This window comes from Homo sapiens, chromosome 11 (assembly GCF_000001405.40).
Source record: "Homo sapiens chromosome 11, GRCh38.p14 Primary Assembly".
Taxonomy (NCBI): Eukaryota; Metazoa; Chordata; class Mammalia; order Primates; family Hominidae; genus Homo; species Homo sapiens.
Window position 1 is genome coordinate 67,810,514 of NC_000011.10, and position 17,223 is coordinate 67,827,736.

Consider the following 17,223-nt stretch of genomic DNA (forward strand, 5'->3'; position numbering starts at 1 on the left):
GCCTTGACCTCCCGGGGCTCAGGTAATTTTCCCATCTCAGCCTCCAAGTAGCTGGGACTACATGCTTGGCTAATTTTTGTATTTTCTGTAGAGATGGGGTCTTGCTATGTGGCCCAGGCTGGTTTCAAACTCCTTGGGCTCAAGCCATCTGCCTGCCTTGGCCTCCCAAAGTGTTAGGATTACAGGTATGAGCCACTATCCCTGGCCACCCTTGTTAAAAAATAAAGAATTCCAAGATGGTGATGGCAGATTATTAAACCACAGTGGGGACTCTTCTGTGTCCCTGTGGGACTGTCCAGGTTGCAAGCCCATGAAGCCGGCCCTGGCTGCTGGGTTCTTCGGGTGCTGGACCTCCCGTGGCATGTGGCAAGGAGTTGTCATGGGTTATCACGACATATGATGATCACCTACGGGAGACCCAAAGACCACTCAGTCCTTTTTCCAACGAATGGCTGTGTATGTCACACAAGCAACAAACAGAACCGCAAGAGCTCCTGTGACAATGCTGAGCCTGATCACTGTGCCTTGCAGAGCAGATGCCCTGTGTACCTCCCTCCTGTTAAGAAACCAGAGGGTTTTTAATTGCCTGATTATTAAGAGGCTGTTCTGGCAGCTCCTGGTTCCCCGGGAAGTTTCCCATCTAGCCGCCAGTGAGTATTCATTATGGAAATGAAGTGCACATTGAACCCAAGAAAACACTCACTCTAGAGAAATCTCAGAGGGCAAGTCGTTGAAAGCCAATTTACTAAATGACCTCTTCGCCAAATGACCCATTTGCCTAATGACCACTTTGCCAAAGGATCAATTTGCTGAAAGCCAATTCGCTGAAAATCTGTTTGTGGGATGTCCTGCTTATCAGTAACTGACAGTCAGACGCAGCTTATCCCAGGCTCCCAGTGGGATATGGGATAGGGGAGGGGCTACAAAATAGTTGTAGCAAAACTCCAAAACTTGAAAAGAAGAAAAATCCTCCATTATTTGGCGAATTGGTCATTCATTTAATTAGTTTTCTACAAAAGGGACTGCTTTCTGTATGTTCACAAGGAGATCATGGGCAGTGACTTACAAGAAGAGAAAGGATGTATATCACCCCTGCCCTCCCCTCTTTTCTTTTTTTTTAAGGCAGGAATCAGGGTGCCATAGTACAATCACAGCTCACTGCAGCCTCCAACTCTTGGGTTCCAGCGATCCTCCCGCCTCAGCCTCCCCAGTAGCTGGGACTACAGGCATGTGACACTACATCCAGCTAATTTATTGTGGAGACAGGGTCTCAGTATGTTGCCCAGGCTGGTCTCAAGTTCCTGGCCCCAAGTGATCCTCCTACCTCGTCCTCCCAAAATCCCAAGTATGAGCCACTGTGCCCAGCCCATTACTCCTTTTTGCATGTAATTGCTTTAAACGCTCGTTAGATCACTGGACAATATCCAAGTCTCTCCTGGCGAAAGGAAAGATAGCCAGTGTTTGTAAACAACCCACAAAAGAAGGCAACAGCAAATTCTGAGATGATTTTATTCTTCCTTTGTATTACCCAGACCGAAGGGGTTTGAAGTCTTGAGAATTTGCAGTCTCGTTTCAGACTCTCCCGTCTCCTTTTTTCAGCATCGAGTGAACAGGGTTTTGCTCCTCCCCTATGAAGAGTTTTTTGTGCTATTGAAGCAGGGCTGATTTCCGTATCTGGAAGGGGCATCTTGGGGGCAGAGTGTACACAGTGATTTCCTTAGGACCGGAAGGATTACAGCCCGACTTTCTCTATAGAGCACCTTCCCTTTGCCTAAAAGGCACTATGTCAAATGTTACCAGCAGGTCGAGGGATTCCCTACCTCCCGTGCTATCTGTTTGGAGCTGTTGGCATCATGTTCCTGGGGCTCCGAAGCTGCTGGGAAACAGGAGTGTTCTGCTTGAATTCCCTCCTCCCCACCATGAGACCCCTTTTTGATTCTTTTCTATCTCAGGACAGAGCAGACTCTGCTGGCAGTTTTCTGGCAGCTGCTTTTGTGTCTCACCTGGCTGCTGGTCATAAGAGTTCACGAGCATTTCCTGGGTGACTGCCAGGGAGCCGTTGTGGGTTTGGGGGTGACTCCCAGGAGCTTACACACGAAGGGGTAGATGTGGATGCTGTTAAAAGTCTCGGCCAGGCCATTCCTCTTGAAATCTGGCCCGAAATCTCTGAATATGGTCTTCATATCCATGAGGACATTATCAAAGCCATGGCTGCCTTTGTTGAAACACATTATAATTCTCTGAAAAATAATAAAAATAAAAAAGCCATTTTAGATTCCAATCCGCTGAAAGAAAACTGTCCGTTAGTTAATGTCATGCTTGTTGGATCCATGAAGTCTTTGAGAATTTAAACTACAAGGACACTGCTCTCTGTGGTGGTGGAGAGAATACCAAGGATTTAAAGGTCTTTAAGAAAGAGAATGTAGAAAGCGTACCCATTGGAAACAGCGAGATGATGATAATCGTACTGACAGTAATAATAAGCTCAAATATATAGAGCTTACTATGTATCATGAATTGTCCTGAATGCTTCATAAATATACGTTCCCTCCTTTACCCTCATGGCAGCCCAGTAAAGGCGCCATTCCCCATTTTACAGCTGGGGAAACTGAGTTACAGAGATTGTCTGCACTGAGTCAACAGGAGCAAATGCTAGATCAGGTAACGGAACCCAAGCAATCTGGTTCCAGAGCCAAATAGATGTATTTTTTATGGTATAAATACACATACATACATTTTTAGGGGAAGGGTGGGGGTAGGATGGGATGAGGATTCTGGGTAATTGCTTGGTAAATGCCAAATACCTTTCTTGTCTGTCCCTCTTTTCAAATGATAAAGTAATGTCAATTGCAACACTTTTTTTTTTTTTTTTGAGACAAGGTCTAGCTGGAGTACAGTGATGCAGTCACAGCCCACTGCAGCCTCAAATTCCTGGGCTCAAGCAATCCATCCACATCAGCTTCCCAAGTAATTGGGACAACAGGCCCACACTACCATGCCAAGCTAATTATTTTAATTTTTGTAGAGATGGCAGGTGGTGGTGAGGGGTGGGCGGTTTTGCTATGTTGCCCAGGCTGGTCTCAAACACTTGACCTCAAGTGAACCTCCTGCCTCAACCCCACAAAGCTCTGAAATTATAGGCATGAGCCACTGTGGCTGGCTGCAATACTATTTATTTATATTTTAGACCAACAGATATTCTAGCATATAAGAAATGTGATGTTCTCTGTACATTGAAGAGTTGGTCTAATATTTGGCCTGGTGGATACAGAAATTGCCTGTCTGCTCCGCTCTGGTTGAAGAAACCAGTCCAACTGTCTCTGAGGCTATGGAGCAGTCCATCAAGAATGAAAGCCCTCGGCCAGGCACGTTGGCTCACACCTGTAATACCAGCGCTTTGGGAGGCCGAGGCAGGTGGATCACATGAAGTCACGAGTTCAACACCAGCATGGCCAACATGGTGAAACCCTGTCTCTACAGAAAATAGAAAAATTAGCTGGGCCTGGTGATGCATGCCTGTAATCCCAACTACTCAGGAGGCTGAGGCAGGAGAATCACTTAAACCTGGGAGGCAGAGGTTGCGGTGGGGAGCTGAGATCACACCACTGCATTCCAGCCTGGGAGACAGAGCGAGACTCTCTCAAAAAAAAAAAAAAAAAAAAGAATGAATGTCCTCATGATGGCCTCAAGCACTTTGGTCCCTGAAGAGAGTCAAGGAAGGCCCACTTTACTCTGCACTGCAAAGCAGGCAGGTGGACATGATGAGAAGTGGATTCAGTGAGAGGCATTGACCCAAAGGATTTTTCTGCCTAATGGTCGGTTCAGCAGAAGATTAAACTGAGCACAGCATCCTGTTCCCTCAAACTATCTGGTTGGTCAGTGGGGAATGTTCTTGTCTCGTTAAATGTCCTCATGCTACTGTCAAGATATCCTGTTACAAAACATCATAAACCAGGTTTACAAATAGGCCAGGTGACTGTGGAATTTCTCCCTGGCAAGGCCTTAGCTATGGGCGCGCGATTGGTGTGCAGTAATCACAGTGTTCCGGGCCACTTGAGGGATAAAATATACCTAAGGTGATAAACTGTTGTATTTTAATGTGAATATTTCCACCAACACTAAACAGTAACCCCAAGAGTTTTCTCATACCTGTTACACCCTGGAATTGCAACAAGCTAACATGAAGCAAGTTGCAAACATAATTATCACATTTGGCTCCTATTCACAGCAAGGGTTCTTCAAGCTCTACCTGGGGCAGTCTTCCCTCACATGAGGTTTATAGCATCATTTATGTAATTATTTATTTATTTTTTGAGATGGAGTTTTGCTCTGTCGCCCAGGCTGGAGTGCAATGGTACGATCTTGGCTCACTGCAACCTCCGTCCCCCCGGGGTTCAAGCGATTCTCCTGCCTCAGCCTCCTGAGTAGCTGGGATTATAGGCACCCGCTACCACGCCTGGCTAATTTTTGTATTTTTAGTAGAGACGGCGTTTCACCATGTTGACCGGGCTGGTCTCAAACTCCTGACCTCAGGTGATCCACCCCCCTCAGCCTCCCAAAGTGTTGGGATTACTGGCATGAGCCATGGTGCCCGGCTATAGCATCATTTCAACTTTGTTTCTGGCATGAATTGTTAGTTGGTAGTTAACAAAAAATAGACCACCTCATTTATGTCTCACAGTTAGCATTGGTTTTTGTGTTTTCTTTAGGCTTGTCTTTTAATTGTTTTTAAAATTGTGAAACAGGGTCTTGTTCTGTTGCTGACGCCAGAGTGCAGTGATACAATCTTGGCTCACTGCAGCCTCAACCACCTGGGCTCAAGCAATCCTCCCACTTTAGCCTCCTGAGTAGCTGGGACTACAAACACGAGCCACCACTGCTGGCTAATTTTTAATTTTTTTTTTTTTTTGAAATGGAGTTTCGCTCTGTCGCCCAGCAGGTTGGAGTGCAGAGGGGTAATCTCGGCTCACTGCAACCTCCACCTCTCAGGTTCAAGCGACTCTCCTGCCTCAGCCTCGGCACCCACCACCATGCCTGGCTAATTTTTAAAAAATATTTTTAGTAGCGACAGGGTTTCACCATGTTGGCCAGGCTGGTCTTGAACTCCTGACCTCAAGTGATCCACCTACCTCGGCCTCCCAAAGTGCTGGGATTACAGGCGTGAGCCACCATGCCAAGCCTAATTTTTAAATTTTTTGTAGAGACCAGGTTTTGCCATATTGTCTAGGCTGGTCTTGAAATCCTGGGCTCAAGTGATCCTCCTGCTTTGGCCTCTCAAAGTGCTGGGATTACAGGCATGGCCCTTATGCCTGGCCCTTAAAGCTGCTTTTTAATAACAGCCTTACTGAAAGATAATTCACATACCATACAAGTTACCCATTTGAAGTGTACAATTTGGCTGGGCATGGTGGCTCACACTTGTAATCCCAGCACTTTGGGAGGCTGAGGTGGGAGGATCGCTTGAACCCAAGAGTTTGAGATGAGCCCGAGCAACATGGCAAAACCCTGTCTCAACCAAAATTACAAAAAATTAGCTGGGCATGGTGGGTGTGTCTGTAGTCCCAGCTACTCAGGAGGCTGAAGTGGGAGGATGGTTTGAGCCCGGGAGGTGGAGGGTGCAGTGAGTTGAGACTGCACCACTGCCCTCCATCCTCGGCAACAGAGCCAGACCCTGTCTCTAAATAAATAAATAAAGTGTATAATTCAGTGGTTTTTAATATATTCACAGAGTTGTGCAGCCATCACCACCATCAGTTTTAGAAATTTTAATTACCCCAGAAGAGACCCTGTAGCCATTAGCAGTCACCCCTTATTTCCCCCTGACTATCCACACCCCTGGCTCCTGGCAACCATTAATCTACTTTGTTTCTTTGGATTTTCATATTCTGGGCATATATATGTGTGTGTGTGTGTGTGTGTGTGTGTGTGTGTGTGTGTATATATATATATATAATAGAATCATCTACTATTTGTCTGGCTTCTTTCACTTAGCCTAATGGTTTCAAAGTGTATCCAGGTTGTAGCATGAATCAGCCCGTCATTCCACATTTTGGCTGATTAATGTTCCATCACACGGGTAGACTCTACTGGTTTGCCCATTCATCTGTTGTTGATAGGCATTTGTGTTGTTGCCACCTTTTGACAATTATGAATAATTTTGCTACGAGCATCTGTGTGTGTCTTTGTATGAACAGGCTTGCATATTTTTTGATATGGGCAAATGAGAACTAGTGGCGGGAGGCCTTTGTGGTGAATTTTTTGGTGATCTTTGTGTACTCTGTATAATGATCAGCCACGCAGGCTTGGGGGCAGCACTTAACCTTACATTTCTTTCTTTTTCTTAAGATAGGGTTTCTCTCTCTGCCACCCAGGCCAGAGCGCAGTTGATGCAGGGCAGGGCAGGGGAGCCCCCAAGTGGAGCATAGTGTATCCAGAACTGGTGGGTTCTTGGTCTCACTGACTTCAAGAATGAAGCCACGGACCCTCGCGGTGAGCGTCACAGCTCTTAAGGCTGCGTGTCTGGAGTTGTTTGTTCCTCCCAGTGGGTTCATAGTCTCACTGGCTTCAGGAGTGAAGCTGCAGACCTTCAAGGTGAGTGTTACAGCTCATAAAGGCAGTGTGGACCCAAAGAGTCAGCAGCAGCAAGATTTATTGCAAAGAGCAAAAGAACAAAGCTTCCACAGTGTGGAAAGGGACCCCAGCGGGTTACCACTGCTGGCTGGGGCAACTTGCTTTTATTCTCTTATCTGGCCCCACCCACATCCTGCTGATTGGTCCATTTTACAGAGAGCTGATTGGTCTGTTTTACAGAGAGCTGATTAGTCCGTTTTGACAGGGTGCTGATTGGTGCATTTACAATCCCTGAGATAGACACAAAAGTTCTCCAAGTCCCTACTAGGTTAGCTAGATAGAGAGTGTCCATTGGTGCATTCACAAACCCTGAGCTAGACACAGGGTGCTGATTGGTGTGTTTACAAACCTTGAGCTAGATACAGAGTGCCGATTGGTGTATTTACAATCCCTCAGCTAGACATAAAGGTTCTTCAAGTCCCCACCAGACTCAGGAGCCCAGCTGGCTTCACCAAGTGGATCCTGCACTGGGGCCACAGGTGGAGCTACCTGCCAGTCCCGCGTCCAGCGCCGGCACTGCTCAGCCCTTGGGTGGTTGATGGGACTGGGCGCTGTGGAGCAGGGGGTGGTGCTCACTGGGGAGGCTCGGGCCATGCAGGATCCCGCGGCCGGTAGCGGGGAGGCTCAGGCATGGTGGGCTGCAAGTCCCAAGCCCTGCCCTGCGGAGAGGCAGCTAAGGCCCGGTGAGAAATCCAGCACAGCAGCTGCTGGCCCAGGTGCTAAGCCCCTCACTGCCCAGGGCCGGCGGGGCTGGCTGGCCGCTCCGAGTGCGGGGCCTGCCGAGCCCATGCCCACCCGGCACTCGCGCTGGCCCGCAAGTGCGGTGCCCAGCCCCTGTTCCCTCCTGCGCCTCTCCCTCTACACCTCCCCGCAAGCTGAGGGAGATGCCTCCAGCCTCGGCCATCCCAGGAAGGGGCTCCCACAGTACAGTGGTGGGCTGAAGGGCTCCTCAAGTGCTGCCAAACTGGGAGCCCAGGCAGAGGAGGCACCAAGAGTGAGCTCCAGGGCTGCCAGAACGCTGTCACCTCTCAATAGCACATGAGGGTTCTTGCCTTTGCTCAGGAAAGAATTCAAGGGCAAGCTGGAGGTATAGAAGAAGACAGCTTTATTGAAGAGGCAGCGTTACAGCCCTGTGACTGCTCCTGTAGGGCAGGGCTACCCTGGAGGCAGAGAGTAGCGGTAGAGAGCTTGCAATCACATTTATACCCACTTTTAATTGCATGCAGATTAAAGGGCAGTCTATGCAGGAATTTCTAGAAAATTGGTAGTAACTTTTGAGTCATTGGGTCATTGTCATGGAAAGGGGCAGGAACTCCTGGGTGTTGCCATGGCAATAGTAAACTCACATGGCACACTGGTGGGCATGTCTGATGGAAAGCTGCTTCTGCCCCAGCCCTGTTTTAGCTAGTCCTCAATTTGGTCTGCTGTCCAAGCCCTGCCTGTGGAGTCAAGTCCTGCCTCCTATCTCACAGTGGCGTGATCATGGCTCACTGCAGCCTCAACACCCCCGGGCTCAAGCAATTCTCCCACCTCAGCCTCCTGAGTTGCTGGGACCACAGGCACGTGCCATTACGCCCAGCTACAGTTTTTTGCATTTTTTGTAGAGATGGTGTTTCACTGTGTTGCCTAGGCTGGTCTCAAACTCCTGGGCTCAAGCAATCTATCTACCTTAGCCTTCTAAAGTGCTGGGATTACAGGTGTGAGCCGCTGCACCCAGCCCAAGCTTACATTTTTAATCTCAAGTCACTTCTCTAGGTTTTGATTTCTTCTTTAAAATGTTGGAACTAAGAGCATCTATTTTATAGGGTTGTTGGGAAGGCAAAATGAAAGAACGGCTATTCAATGTTTAGTGAAGCGCTATGCACAATTTTGAATAATGAAGTTGCTGTTTATTTTTATTGTTTATTTATTTTTTAGAGACTGGGTCTTGCTCTGTTGCTCAAGCTGGAGTGCAGTGGTGCAATCACAGCTTACTGCAGCCTTGACCTCCTGGGCTCAAGAAATCCTGCCACCTCAGCCTCCTGAGTAGCTGGGACTGCAGGCATGCATTGCCATGTCTGGCTATTTATTTATTTGTTTGTTTTTTGTAGAGATGGGGTCTCCCTATGTTGCCCGGGCTGGTCTTGAACTCCTGGCCTTAAGCAGTCCTCCTGTCTTGGCCTCCCAAAGCACTGAGATTACAGGTGTGAACCACCATGGCCAGCCTTATTTTTATTTTTAAATCAGCCTTGTCCAGTTGAATTGGTCATTAATCTTGTATAATGGTAATTTGGGGCAGCATTGGTTGGGCGGGGGGTGGGGAACATTTAGGACCCTGTGGGCTACAACTCGTAGTGTGTGCACTTATTTTATTTTGTTTTATTATATTATGTTATATTTTTTTGAGACAGGGTCTCACTCTGTTGCCCAGACTGGAGTGCAGTAGCATGATCTTGGCTCACTGCAACCTCTGCCTCCCAGGTTCAAGCTATTCTCCTGCCTCAGCCTCCAGAGTAGCTGGAACTACAGATGCACGCCACCACGCCCGGCTAAGTTTTGTATTTTTAGTACAGATGGGGTTTCACCATGTTGGCCAGGCTGGTCTCAAACTCCTGACCTCAGGTGATATACCTGCCTCAGCCTCCCAAAGTGCTGGGATTATAGGCGTGAGCCACTGTGCCTGGCTGTGCACTCATGTTTGATTTTTGCAGAACCACCCTTCCCTAATGGTTGTCTCCTAGATCCAAGGTGACTTTATTCATTTTAGAATGAACTTATCCCATTGATACTGTAACTAGAGTTGGCATACATCACGATTGGCAGAACCCGGTCATGTTTAGCGAGATGGAAGTGTTCTGGAAACTCCTCCTTCTTGTAGATGTGGAGGTGAGGGTGCGCATTCTTCAGTGCCTGGTAAAGGGCTTCTTCTTGCCCCAGTTTGGGTAGGGGCAGCCCAAAGCCACCATAGCCCACAATATCAAACTTGACCCAGTCCCTGAACTTGATGTAGTTGGACAAGGGATCTTGTTGACATTGGGTCTCTTCTTCACGGTCATCATCCCATGGTCTCATGTGATGATGACCTGAGGTGCTCTGCAGGCTGTGCTTCTCAGTGGCTCCCACCAGATACCAGATGGTCCTGTCGAGTTGCTGAATCATCAACTTCCTATTCTCTGCCTCTGGCTTGAATCGATGTCCTACGTTATCTGGCTGTCTGTAGTACAGAGTCACAAAGTCAAAGTCTTCCTTGGTGAAGCAGTTCATGACGGTATCGATGTTCTCCCTCTGCTCTGTCTCGTTGTTATTTTGGTGAGTGTAGGACTCCACCAGGGACCGCTTGACAGCCTCACCCTCGTATTTAGCACCTCCCCTGGAATAGTGGGATGATGCTGCTTTCTTCCCCTTCACGTACAATAAGAAAATTCCATCAGGGCCATTTCTCATACCTTTCTCACAATCAGCAAAGCTCGAGTTGTCTACATCTGTGCCCCAGTCCAAAGACATAGAAAATATGTGGTCTTTGGAGTCAGACAGGGTGGAGTTAGATTCTGGGATTCCCCAGGATCTCATAGCATCTACAACACTGTTAGTTACAAGATGTACTATTATTTTATGGGCTACTAAGCAGAAAAATGCCGCCAACGAGACTGTGACATTCCAGTGATTGTAAGGTGTATTACAACTTCAGAGATGGCAAAATGAAAAATAATTCCTTAGAATAGAGGGAGACGGTAATTTCTGAGTTGTTGGTGGTGAATCTGTGCATGTGTGTTTTTTATATATATACACATATATATACATACATATACATGTATATATATGTGTATATATAGACATACCTATATACATATACATATATATATGTGTATATATAGTGGTGCAGTGGTACAATCATAGCTCATTGCACCCTTGAACTCCTGGGCTTAAGCGATCCTCCTACCTCAGCCTCTTGAGTAGCTGGGGCCACAGGCATGTACCACCATACCTATATATATATATTTTTTTGAGACACGGTGTCACTCTCTCACCTAGGCTGGAGTGCAGTGGCACGATCTCAGCTCACTGCAACTTCTGACTCCTGGGTTCAAGCAATTCTTTTGCCTCAGCCTCCCAAGTAGCTGGGATTATAGACACGTGCCACTATGCTCAGCTAAGTTTTGCATTTTTAATTGAGATAGAGTTTTGTCGTGATGGCCAGGCTGGTTTCGAACCCCTGGGCTGAAGTGATCCACCTGCCTTGACCTCCCAAAGTGCTGGGATTACATGTGTGAGCCACCGCGCCTAGCCCTAATTTTTTTTTTTTTTTTTTTTTTTTTAGTCTTTGTAGAGATGAGGTCTCGCTAATTTGCCCAGGCTTGTCCTGAACTCCTGGGTTTAAGTGATTCTCCTGCCTCAGCCTCTCAAACTGCTGGGATTACACGCAAGAGACACTGCACCCGGCTGGTTGTGAGTTTTTAAATTTTCCAGTGTCTCAGTGTTTCTACCTGTAGAATGCCAAAAAGTAGATGGCATCTTTGCGAGGATTAAGTCGACTAGCTTTTTTTTTTTTTTTTTTTGAGAGAGAATTTCTTTCTTGTCACCCAGGCTGGAGTGCAATGGCGTGATCTTGGCTCACTGCAACCTCTGCCTCCTGGATTCAAGTGATTCTCCTGCCTCAGCCTCCCAAGTAGCTGGGATTACAAAGCCAGCTAGCTTTAAGATACAGTGTGGGGCATCACATTTTGGCACGGAGCAGGCACTCTTTCCTTTGCCCCCAGGTGGGACTAAGCCACCACAAGCCTTCCCTGGTGTGTGCAGTGGGTGATGAATGCTTGCCTGCTCAGCACCCACTACATGCTGGGCTGGGTCACATTACTCTGACTCCCCCTTGAGCTTCAGTCCGTGCCTGGTTCAAGATGTATTCACTCAACTCGAGGATCCAGAGGTGGGATGTGGCTCTGGCCTGGCCAGAGGACAGAGGATGCTGCATGCCATGGCTACAGCAACTGGTTCAGCTTTGGGCTCATGTCCTAGTCAGAGCCAATGAGATGTAATCTTCGGATATCTGCTGGGCTGTTGGGAAGGGGACAGGCTGCCCTGCTCATCCCCATTCCTGATGCTGAGGGATCTGAGAAAATCACTTGTAAAATTCGGGGGTGTTTGGAAGAAGGGGAGACCGATGTCTCCTTCTCTCTACAGACATCTGATCAGCTACAGAGCTTGACTGACCTACCCAGAGGCATAATGATATGGTGGTTAAAAGTGTGCTCTGGGCCGAGATCTTGCCACCGAACTCCAGCCTGGGTGACAGAGTGAGACTCCGTATAAAAAAAAAAAAAAGTGTGCTCTGGGCTGGGCGCGGAGGCTTATGACTGTAATCCCAGCACTTTGGGAGGCTGAGGCAGGAAGATCGCTTGAAGTCAGGAGTTTGGGATCAGACCCTATCTCTAGAAAAATGCTTTTTAAAAATTAGCTGCGTTGGTGGTGAATGCCTGTAGTCTCAGCTACTCGGGAGGCTGAGGCAGGAAGATTGCTGGAGCCCGGGAGTTCAAGGCTGCAGTGAGCTATGATCAGGCCACTGCACTCCAGTTTGAGGGACAGAGAGAGACCCCATCTCCCTAAAGAACAAAAAAGTGTGCTCTGGTGCCGCACTGCCTGGTTAGATCCTTTCTCCACCACTTAGATGCATGTTATATAAATGCTGTCCTCAGTTTCCTCATCTGTAACTTGGGGATGATAATGTTGCCCCATGAAGTGGTTGTGGGGACTAAATGCATGTGGGCACATTGGTACGTATTCAACAAGCTTGATTTTTCCTGGAGAGGGAGAAAGAGCATACAGTGAAGTGGCACGGTCAGGTGCATTGGGGCAAGGATTATTTCCTCCGGCTTCTGCCTCCTGGGAGGTACTAAGGATGGATGTGAAATGTGTCTGCAGAACCCAGAGTTGGGGACTGCAGAGGAAAATTGAGATCAGGGACCCCAGCCTGGCAGAAATGGGTGCAGCATGGGGCATTGTGTTCCTTCCATCAGAGGCATGGGGTGTGTTGCAGAGAGTCATGAGATATGGCTGAATCTTGCAAGGGAGCCGCGGTCCTAGGGTTGCTGCTTGAGACAAAGACCACTGTCAGTGCAACCTGGTGACCTTCACCCTTCTGTGTCAGGCTGCAGACAGCAAGAGATGGCAGCAGATTACACCCAACAGGAAAAGGGCCATTGCTATCCCACAGGTTGCCATAAGAGGAGATGACATCTCTCCCTCTCCTCCTCCAGCAGTGTCAGCTGGGGAAGAGGTGGGTGGGTATGCACAAAAGAGTAGACCACAGACCATGCTCCTTCTCCTCCAGTCTGCTGGGTCCCCAAGAGAGTCTGCAGCCCTTGGCCAGGGACCGGCTGACACAGGAGAACAAAAGATCTCAGGCTGGGATAACATGGTGGTGCAGTTCATCCTCTGGAGCTCCCTGTGAGATCAGACTGGAGCCAGTCTCCAGCTGAGACCACATCTCACTTAGCTCCTTCCCTGCCATATCTTGTTTTCCTTACTCCTATCTCCTGAGAGTCCTGAATAAATTACATGCACTCAATCCCTGCCTCAGGCTCTGTTTTTAGGGAACTTGACCTAAGACAGATATCTTAGTACTAGATACTTTGCAAGGCCTCAGAAGCTCTGCTATCCACAGGCAGGTGAGATATTACCTTCCCTACCACCTGGCAGTCATAGTCAATGATGCGATTCAGCTTTGTGGAAGTGCTTCTCTAAAGAACTTCCCCCAATTTAAGATGATCTTAATTTGCTTACTTCTTTACTGCCCATTTAGCTGCTTTAAAATGTGAACTCCAAATCAGGGGCCATGTCTGGTTGGTTACCCATTTCCTGGGACCTAGAACGGGCCTAGCTCAGAGCAGTTGCTCACTATTGATGGAATGCATGTTGAAAGAATGCGTGAATCTCATCTCCTTTTGTGGGTGAAAAGCTCATCCTATTCTCACTCCTGATTAACTTTCTTTCTTTCTTTTTTTTTTTTTTTCAAAATGGAGCCATGATCTGTCACCCAGGCTGGAGTACAATGGTGCGATCTCGGCTCGATGCAACCTCTGCCTTTTGGATTAAAGCAATTCTCCTGCCTCAGCCTCCCGGGTAGCTGGGATTACAGGTGCACACCACCACGACCAGCTAATTTTTTGTATTTTTAATACAGACAGGGTTTCACCATGTTGGCCAGGCTGGTCTCGAACTCCTGACCTCGTGATCTGCCCGCTTTGGCCTCCCAAAGTCCTGGGATTACAGGCATGAGCCACCGTAACCAGCCACTCTTGATTAACTTAATGGAAATATTTACAGAGATTCTTTCTCTTCTGGGTTCTAGCGTCTTATCTGTAACCTCTGCAGGTAATACATTTTCCTTCCTGATAATAGCATTTCTTTGGTTGCTTTCACTTGCAAATCCTCTAATACTGATTTATTCCATTTCTGATTGGCATTAGTCATAATTCTCAATTTTTAGTGACAGCACTTCTGTTAACTTACATATAAATCGACTTTGCCTTGAAATGTGACTTTGACTAGAAGGATGAAACTTCTAACATGCTGTAGAACATAGTTTGACTGGCTAATTTATTATTTAGAAGAAGCTAATATTGCCATTATGAGGGACTTAGGTGGTTCTGAAGAACCAGTTGTATTTCTGATGTTTGCAATGTTAAATCACAGATATTGCCAATGTGAAATAGTTTCCGTATGCTGTGTTCTCAATACACACCTTTTCCAAAGATATCCCAAGCTGTAGTCTTAGGAAACTGTGATTTTTCTTATTTGGTCTCATAGGAATTTGGGGAGCTATGCGGGATCTCCATAAAATGAGCTCCAGAAAGACACATGTGTGCACATACACACACACACACACACACACACACTCTCACACATGTACCACACCACAATTGACTGTTTATGTGGGACCCATGATTATCAGAAGTGCTATTTTCAACAAACACTTCTGAGAAATAATCTGAACACTTAATTGGATGCAAAAGAGTGGGTATTTACTATTCTACCCTTTAATTAGCATAATCAGTGTTTCCAGCAGCAAAAGCAATTGGAAAAGCGCTAGTTTTATTAGGTTCATTATTCTCCCTTAGCGTAGTGTGGCATCAGCATGGCTATTATTCTTAAATTGCCTCCTTAAAACAAGGGCTGGTGCTTCTTACAGGCAATTCCTAACTGTTGGGTTTTGCAGAGAGTCCAAAACTCTTTAGAACCTATAATTCAAGGAAAGGCTCCACTTTGGTTTTGCATTTTGTCTGGTCTCTTTGGCTGACAGAATTTATGTCACAAGGTACACATGTTTGGGGGAGGCTCATGGACAGCCCATCGCGCTTGTGCTTTGGTAGGAAGTACGTGCCGTTAAGGGGAAGGAGTTAGTTACTGATTCTAGGGAACAATTGGGTAGAAAGAGATGTTTGAAATTCAGAACTCAAGCTTCGCTCTAAGTGTTTCCTTGCTTTGCTGTGCTCCAGGGGAGTCACTGAGCAGAAGGAAGCGAGTTGCCTGAGATTCCTCAAAGCCAGCAGCCCTTTTGGAGGTTACATTGTTATTCTCAGAGCCTTTATGATGCATAATAAAGACCTAGCTTGGACCAACATTAGGATGAGTTATCTTGCTATTAACAATCTTTTAGGTAGAAGTTGCTGGTCCCATCTTGCTCACAATCCTCCAAAGTTTGAAAGTGATTTTCCAGGAGACTTGGCTTGCACTGAGAGCTGCCCTCCCACCCTCTCTCCAAATTTCCTCTTGGGGGTAGCCTAACAAGGTGCTGTCACAGACCCTTGCCTGCCACGATGACCCCACCCAGACCATCCCTCTGCTGGTTCACTCTTTGATACTCTCTGGAGCTCTCTGGGGAGGGGTGAGACCTGCCCTCTCGTTTGTATGGTTTGCCCAGGTCTTACAGTCATGGCTGGCTGCCTCTCTCTGAGAACTGGGACTCCTGAACTTGGTGAAATACCTCAGCCATCGATCATGTTGAATTATCGGGGACACTCATTTAAAATCGGAGCCTGTTCCAGATAGACTCTCTCTCTTTCTGCCCTGACCGTGAGAGAAGCCTTGCTGGACGGTGGAGGCGCTCGTGGGCTGTAAGCAAGGGATGCAAAGGCTGCCGGGAATCCCTTCTTTCCAGCGTCATCTGCCAAGGGACATCAGTCCCTGGGTATCTTGATGGGTTCTAGCAGCATTACTGTCATTGAAGGAAAAATTTTAGCCATATTAAAGGTGAATGCAGCAATCTCCACATAGGCTGCCTGGAAGGGACGCAGGACAAGGGTAGGTTTTCTTGTGATGGACAGGAGGCAGGCGGCCCTCCCACAGCCCTGTCTGGCTATGCAGATGTGTCCCCATAAGGCACTGGGGGCCAGCTGGAGTGCTGTGCCGAGGCGGGCTGACCCGGGCCGTGGGTTCGCTCTGATTGCAGCGGTTTCCCGCCAGCTCCTTGCAGAGCTGGCAGATGGCCCAGCCCCACAGCAGGAGCTGTGAATGGCAGAACGAGATACAACAATTTGATATCCACTTGCCAGACGAGCCGGGTGTCGTCAGTCGCCTGGCTCTGTGCCCAACCTCTTTTTGCATAAACACTTATGAATTCAGCCAAGAGGAAAAGCACTCTGATTATGAATTGAGCAGAAGGAAACAAAATTCTGCAGATAAACACCAATGAGACAAAAAAACACGAACAAGAAAAATGACAGAAAAGGAGAACCTTCCCAGAAGCCTCCTGCCAGTGAACGGCCACCACAGCAAGAGCATGGAGAGGCCCTGGGTTTTGAACTGTGAGATAAGGAAGATGATGAAAACCTCCCTAGCAGCCAGGCAAGCACAAGATTCCTGTGAAATCCAGGTCTAAGTGTTTTGACCACCGAAGTAATATTATGTCATAGGTGAGAGCTGTGAGTTGCTGAACCCAAAGTGAGTTCAAATCCGAGTTCTGCCTCCTGCAACCTGTGTGACTTTGAGAAGTTCCAGCACCACTTTGTGCCTCAGTTTTGTCATCTGTTAAACGGGCATAATCACAGCTCCTGCCTCAGAGTTGTTGTAAATTAATACATGTAAAGCACTGAAATCAGCCTGGTATACAGTAGGTATTATGAACGTTATTTTCTTGGAAGGACAGAACTTCTTTTCATGGTTTAAGCCTGAAAACCTAAAAAATGTGAGAGAAGAGGAAAGAATCTAGAGTGTCACCATGAGGGGGAAAAGTCAACTTGAAGCAGGACAGGGTCATTGACAATTTCCTGTGATTCTACAGCTGCCTTGTACACTATGGTAGCTCCTATCCACTTGTTTAGATTTTGTGATTTAGAAATGAATTAAGGCCGGGCATGGTGACACACCTGTAATCCCAGCATTTTGGGAGGCCAAGTTGGGCAGATCACCTGAGGTCAGGCGTTCAAGATCAGCCTGGCCAACATGGTGAAATCTCGTCTCTACAAAAATACAAAAATTAGCCGGGCATGATGGCGGGTTCCTGTAATCCTGGCTACTCAGGAGGCTGAGGCAGGAGAATTGCTTGAACCCCGGAGATGGAGGTTGCAGTGAGACGAGATTGCACCACTGCACTCCAGCCTGGAGGATAGAGTGAGACTC

The 17,223-nt window shown here is 47.4% G+C and overlaps 1 protein-coding gene and 1 pseudogene across 1 annotated transcript in view, besides 2 other annotated features; both read right to left on the bottom strand.

Annotated features, from left to right (window-relative positions):
- Positions 1-1,495: 1,495 nt before the first annotated feature.
- LOC112268076 (translation initiation factor IF-2-like) overlaps positions 1,496-17,223 on the bottom strand; it is a 154,152-nt gene continuing 138,424 nt past the window's right edge. The window contains exon 4 of the mRNA XM_047427952.1: positions 1,496-2,240. Within this exon, the coding sequence (XP_047283908.1) occupies positions 2,025-2,240 (216 nt within the window). The 3' untranslated portion in view covers positions 1,496-2,024. The remainder of the gene's footprint in view (positions 2,241-17,223) is intronic.
- The window catches only part of ENPP7P7 (ectonucleotide pyrophosphatase/phosphodiesterase 7 pseudogene 7), a 60,830-nt pseudogene continuing 45,635 nt past the window's right edge, over positions 2,029-17,223 (bottom strand).
- Positions 15,474-15,982: an enhancer, noted in NCBI's record as "H3K4me1 hESC enhancer chr11:67593458-67593966 (GRCh37/hg19 assembly coordinates)". NCBI's record gives its function as "activates a minimal SCP1, AML or CMV promoter by ChIP-STARR-seq in primed H9 embryonic stem cells {active_cell/tissue: H9 hESC(primed)}" and the evidence as "EXISTENCE:reporter gene assay evidence [ECO:0000049][PMID:30033119]".
- Positions 15,983-16,491: an enhancer, noted in NCBI's record as "H3K4me1 hESC enhancer chr11:67593967-67594475 (GRCh37/hg19 assembly coordinates)". NCBI's record gives its function as "activates a minimal SCP1, AML or CMV promoter by ChIP-STARR-seq in naive H9 embryonic stem cells {active_cell/tissue: H9 hESC(naive)}" and the evidence as "EXISTENCE:reporter gene assay evidence [ECO:0000049][PMID:30033119]".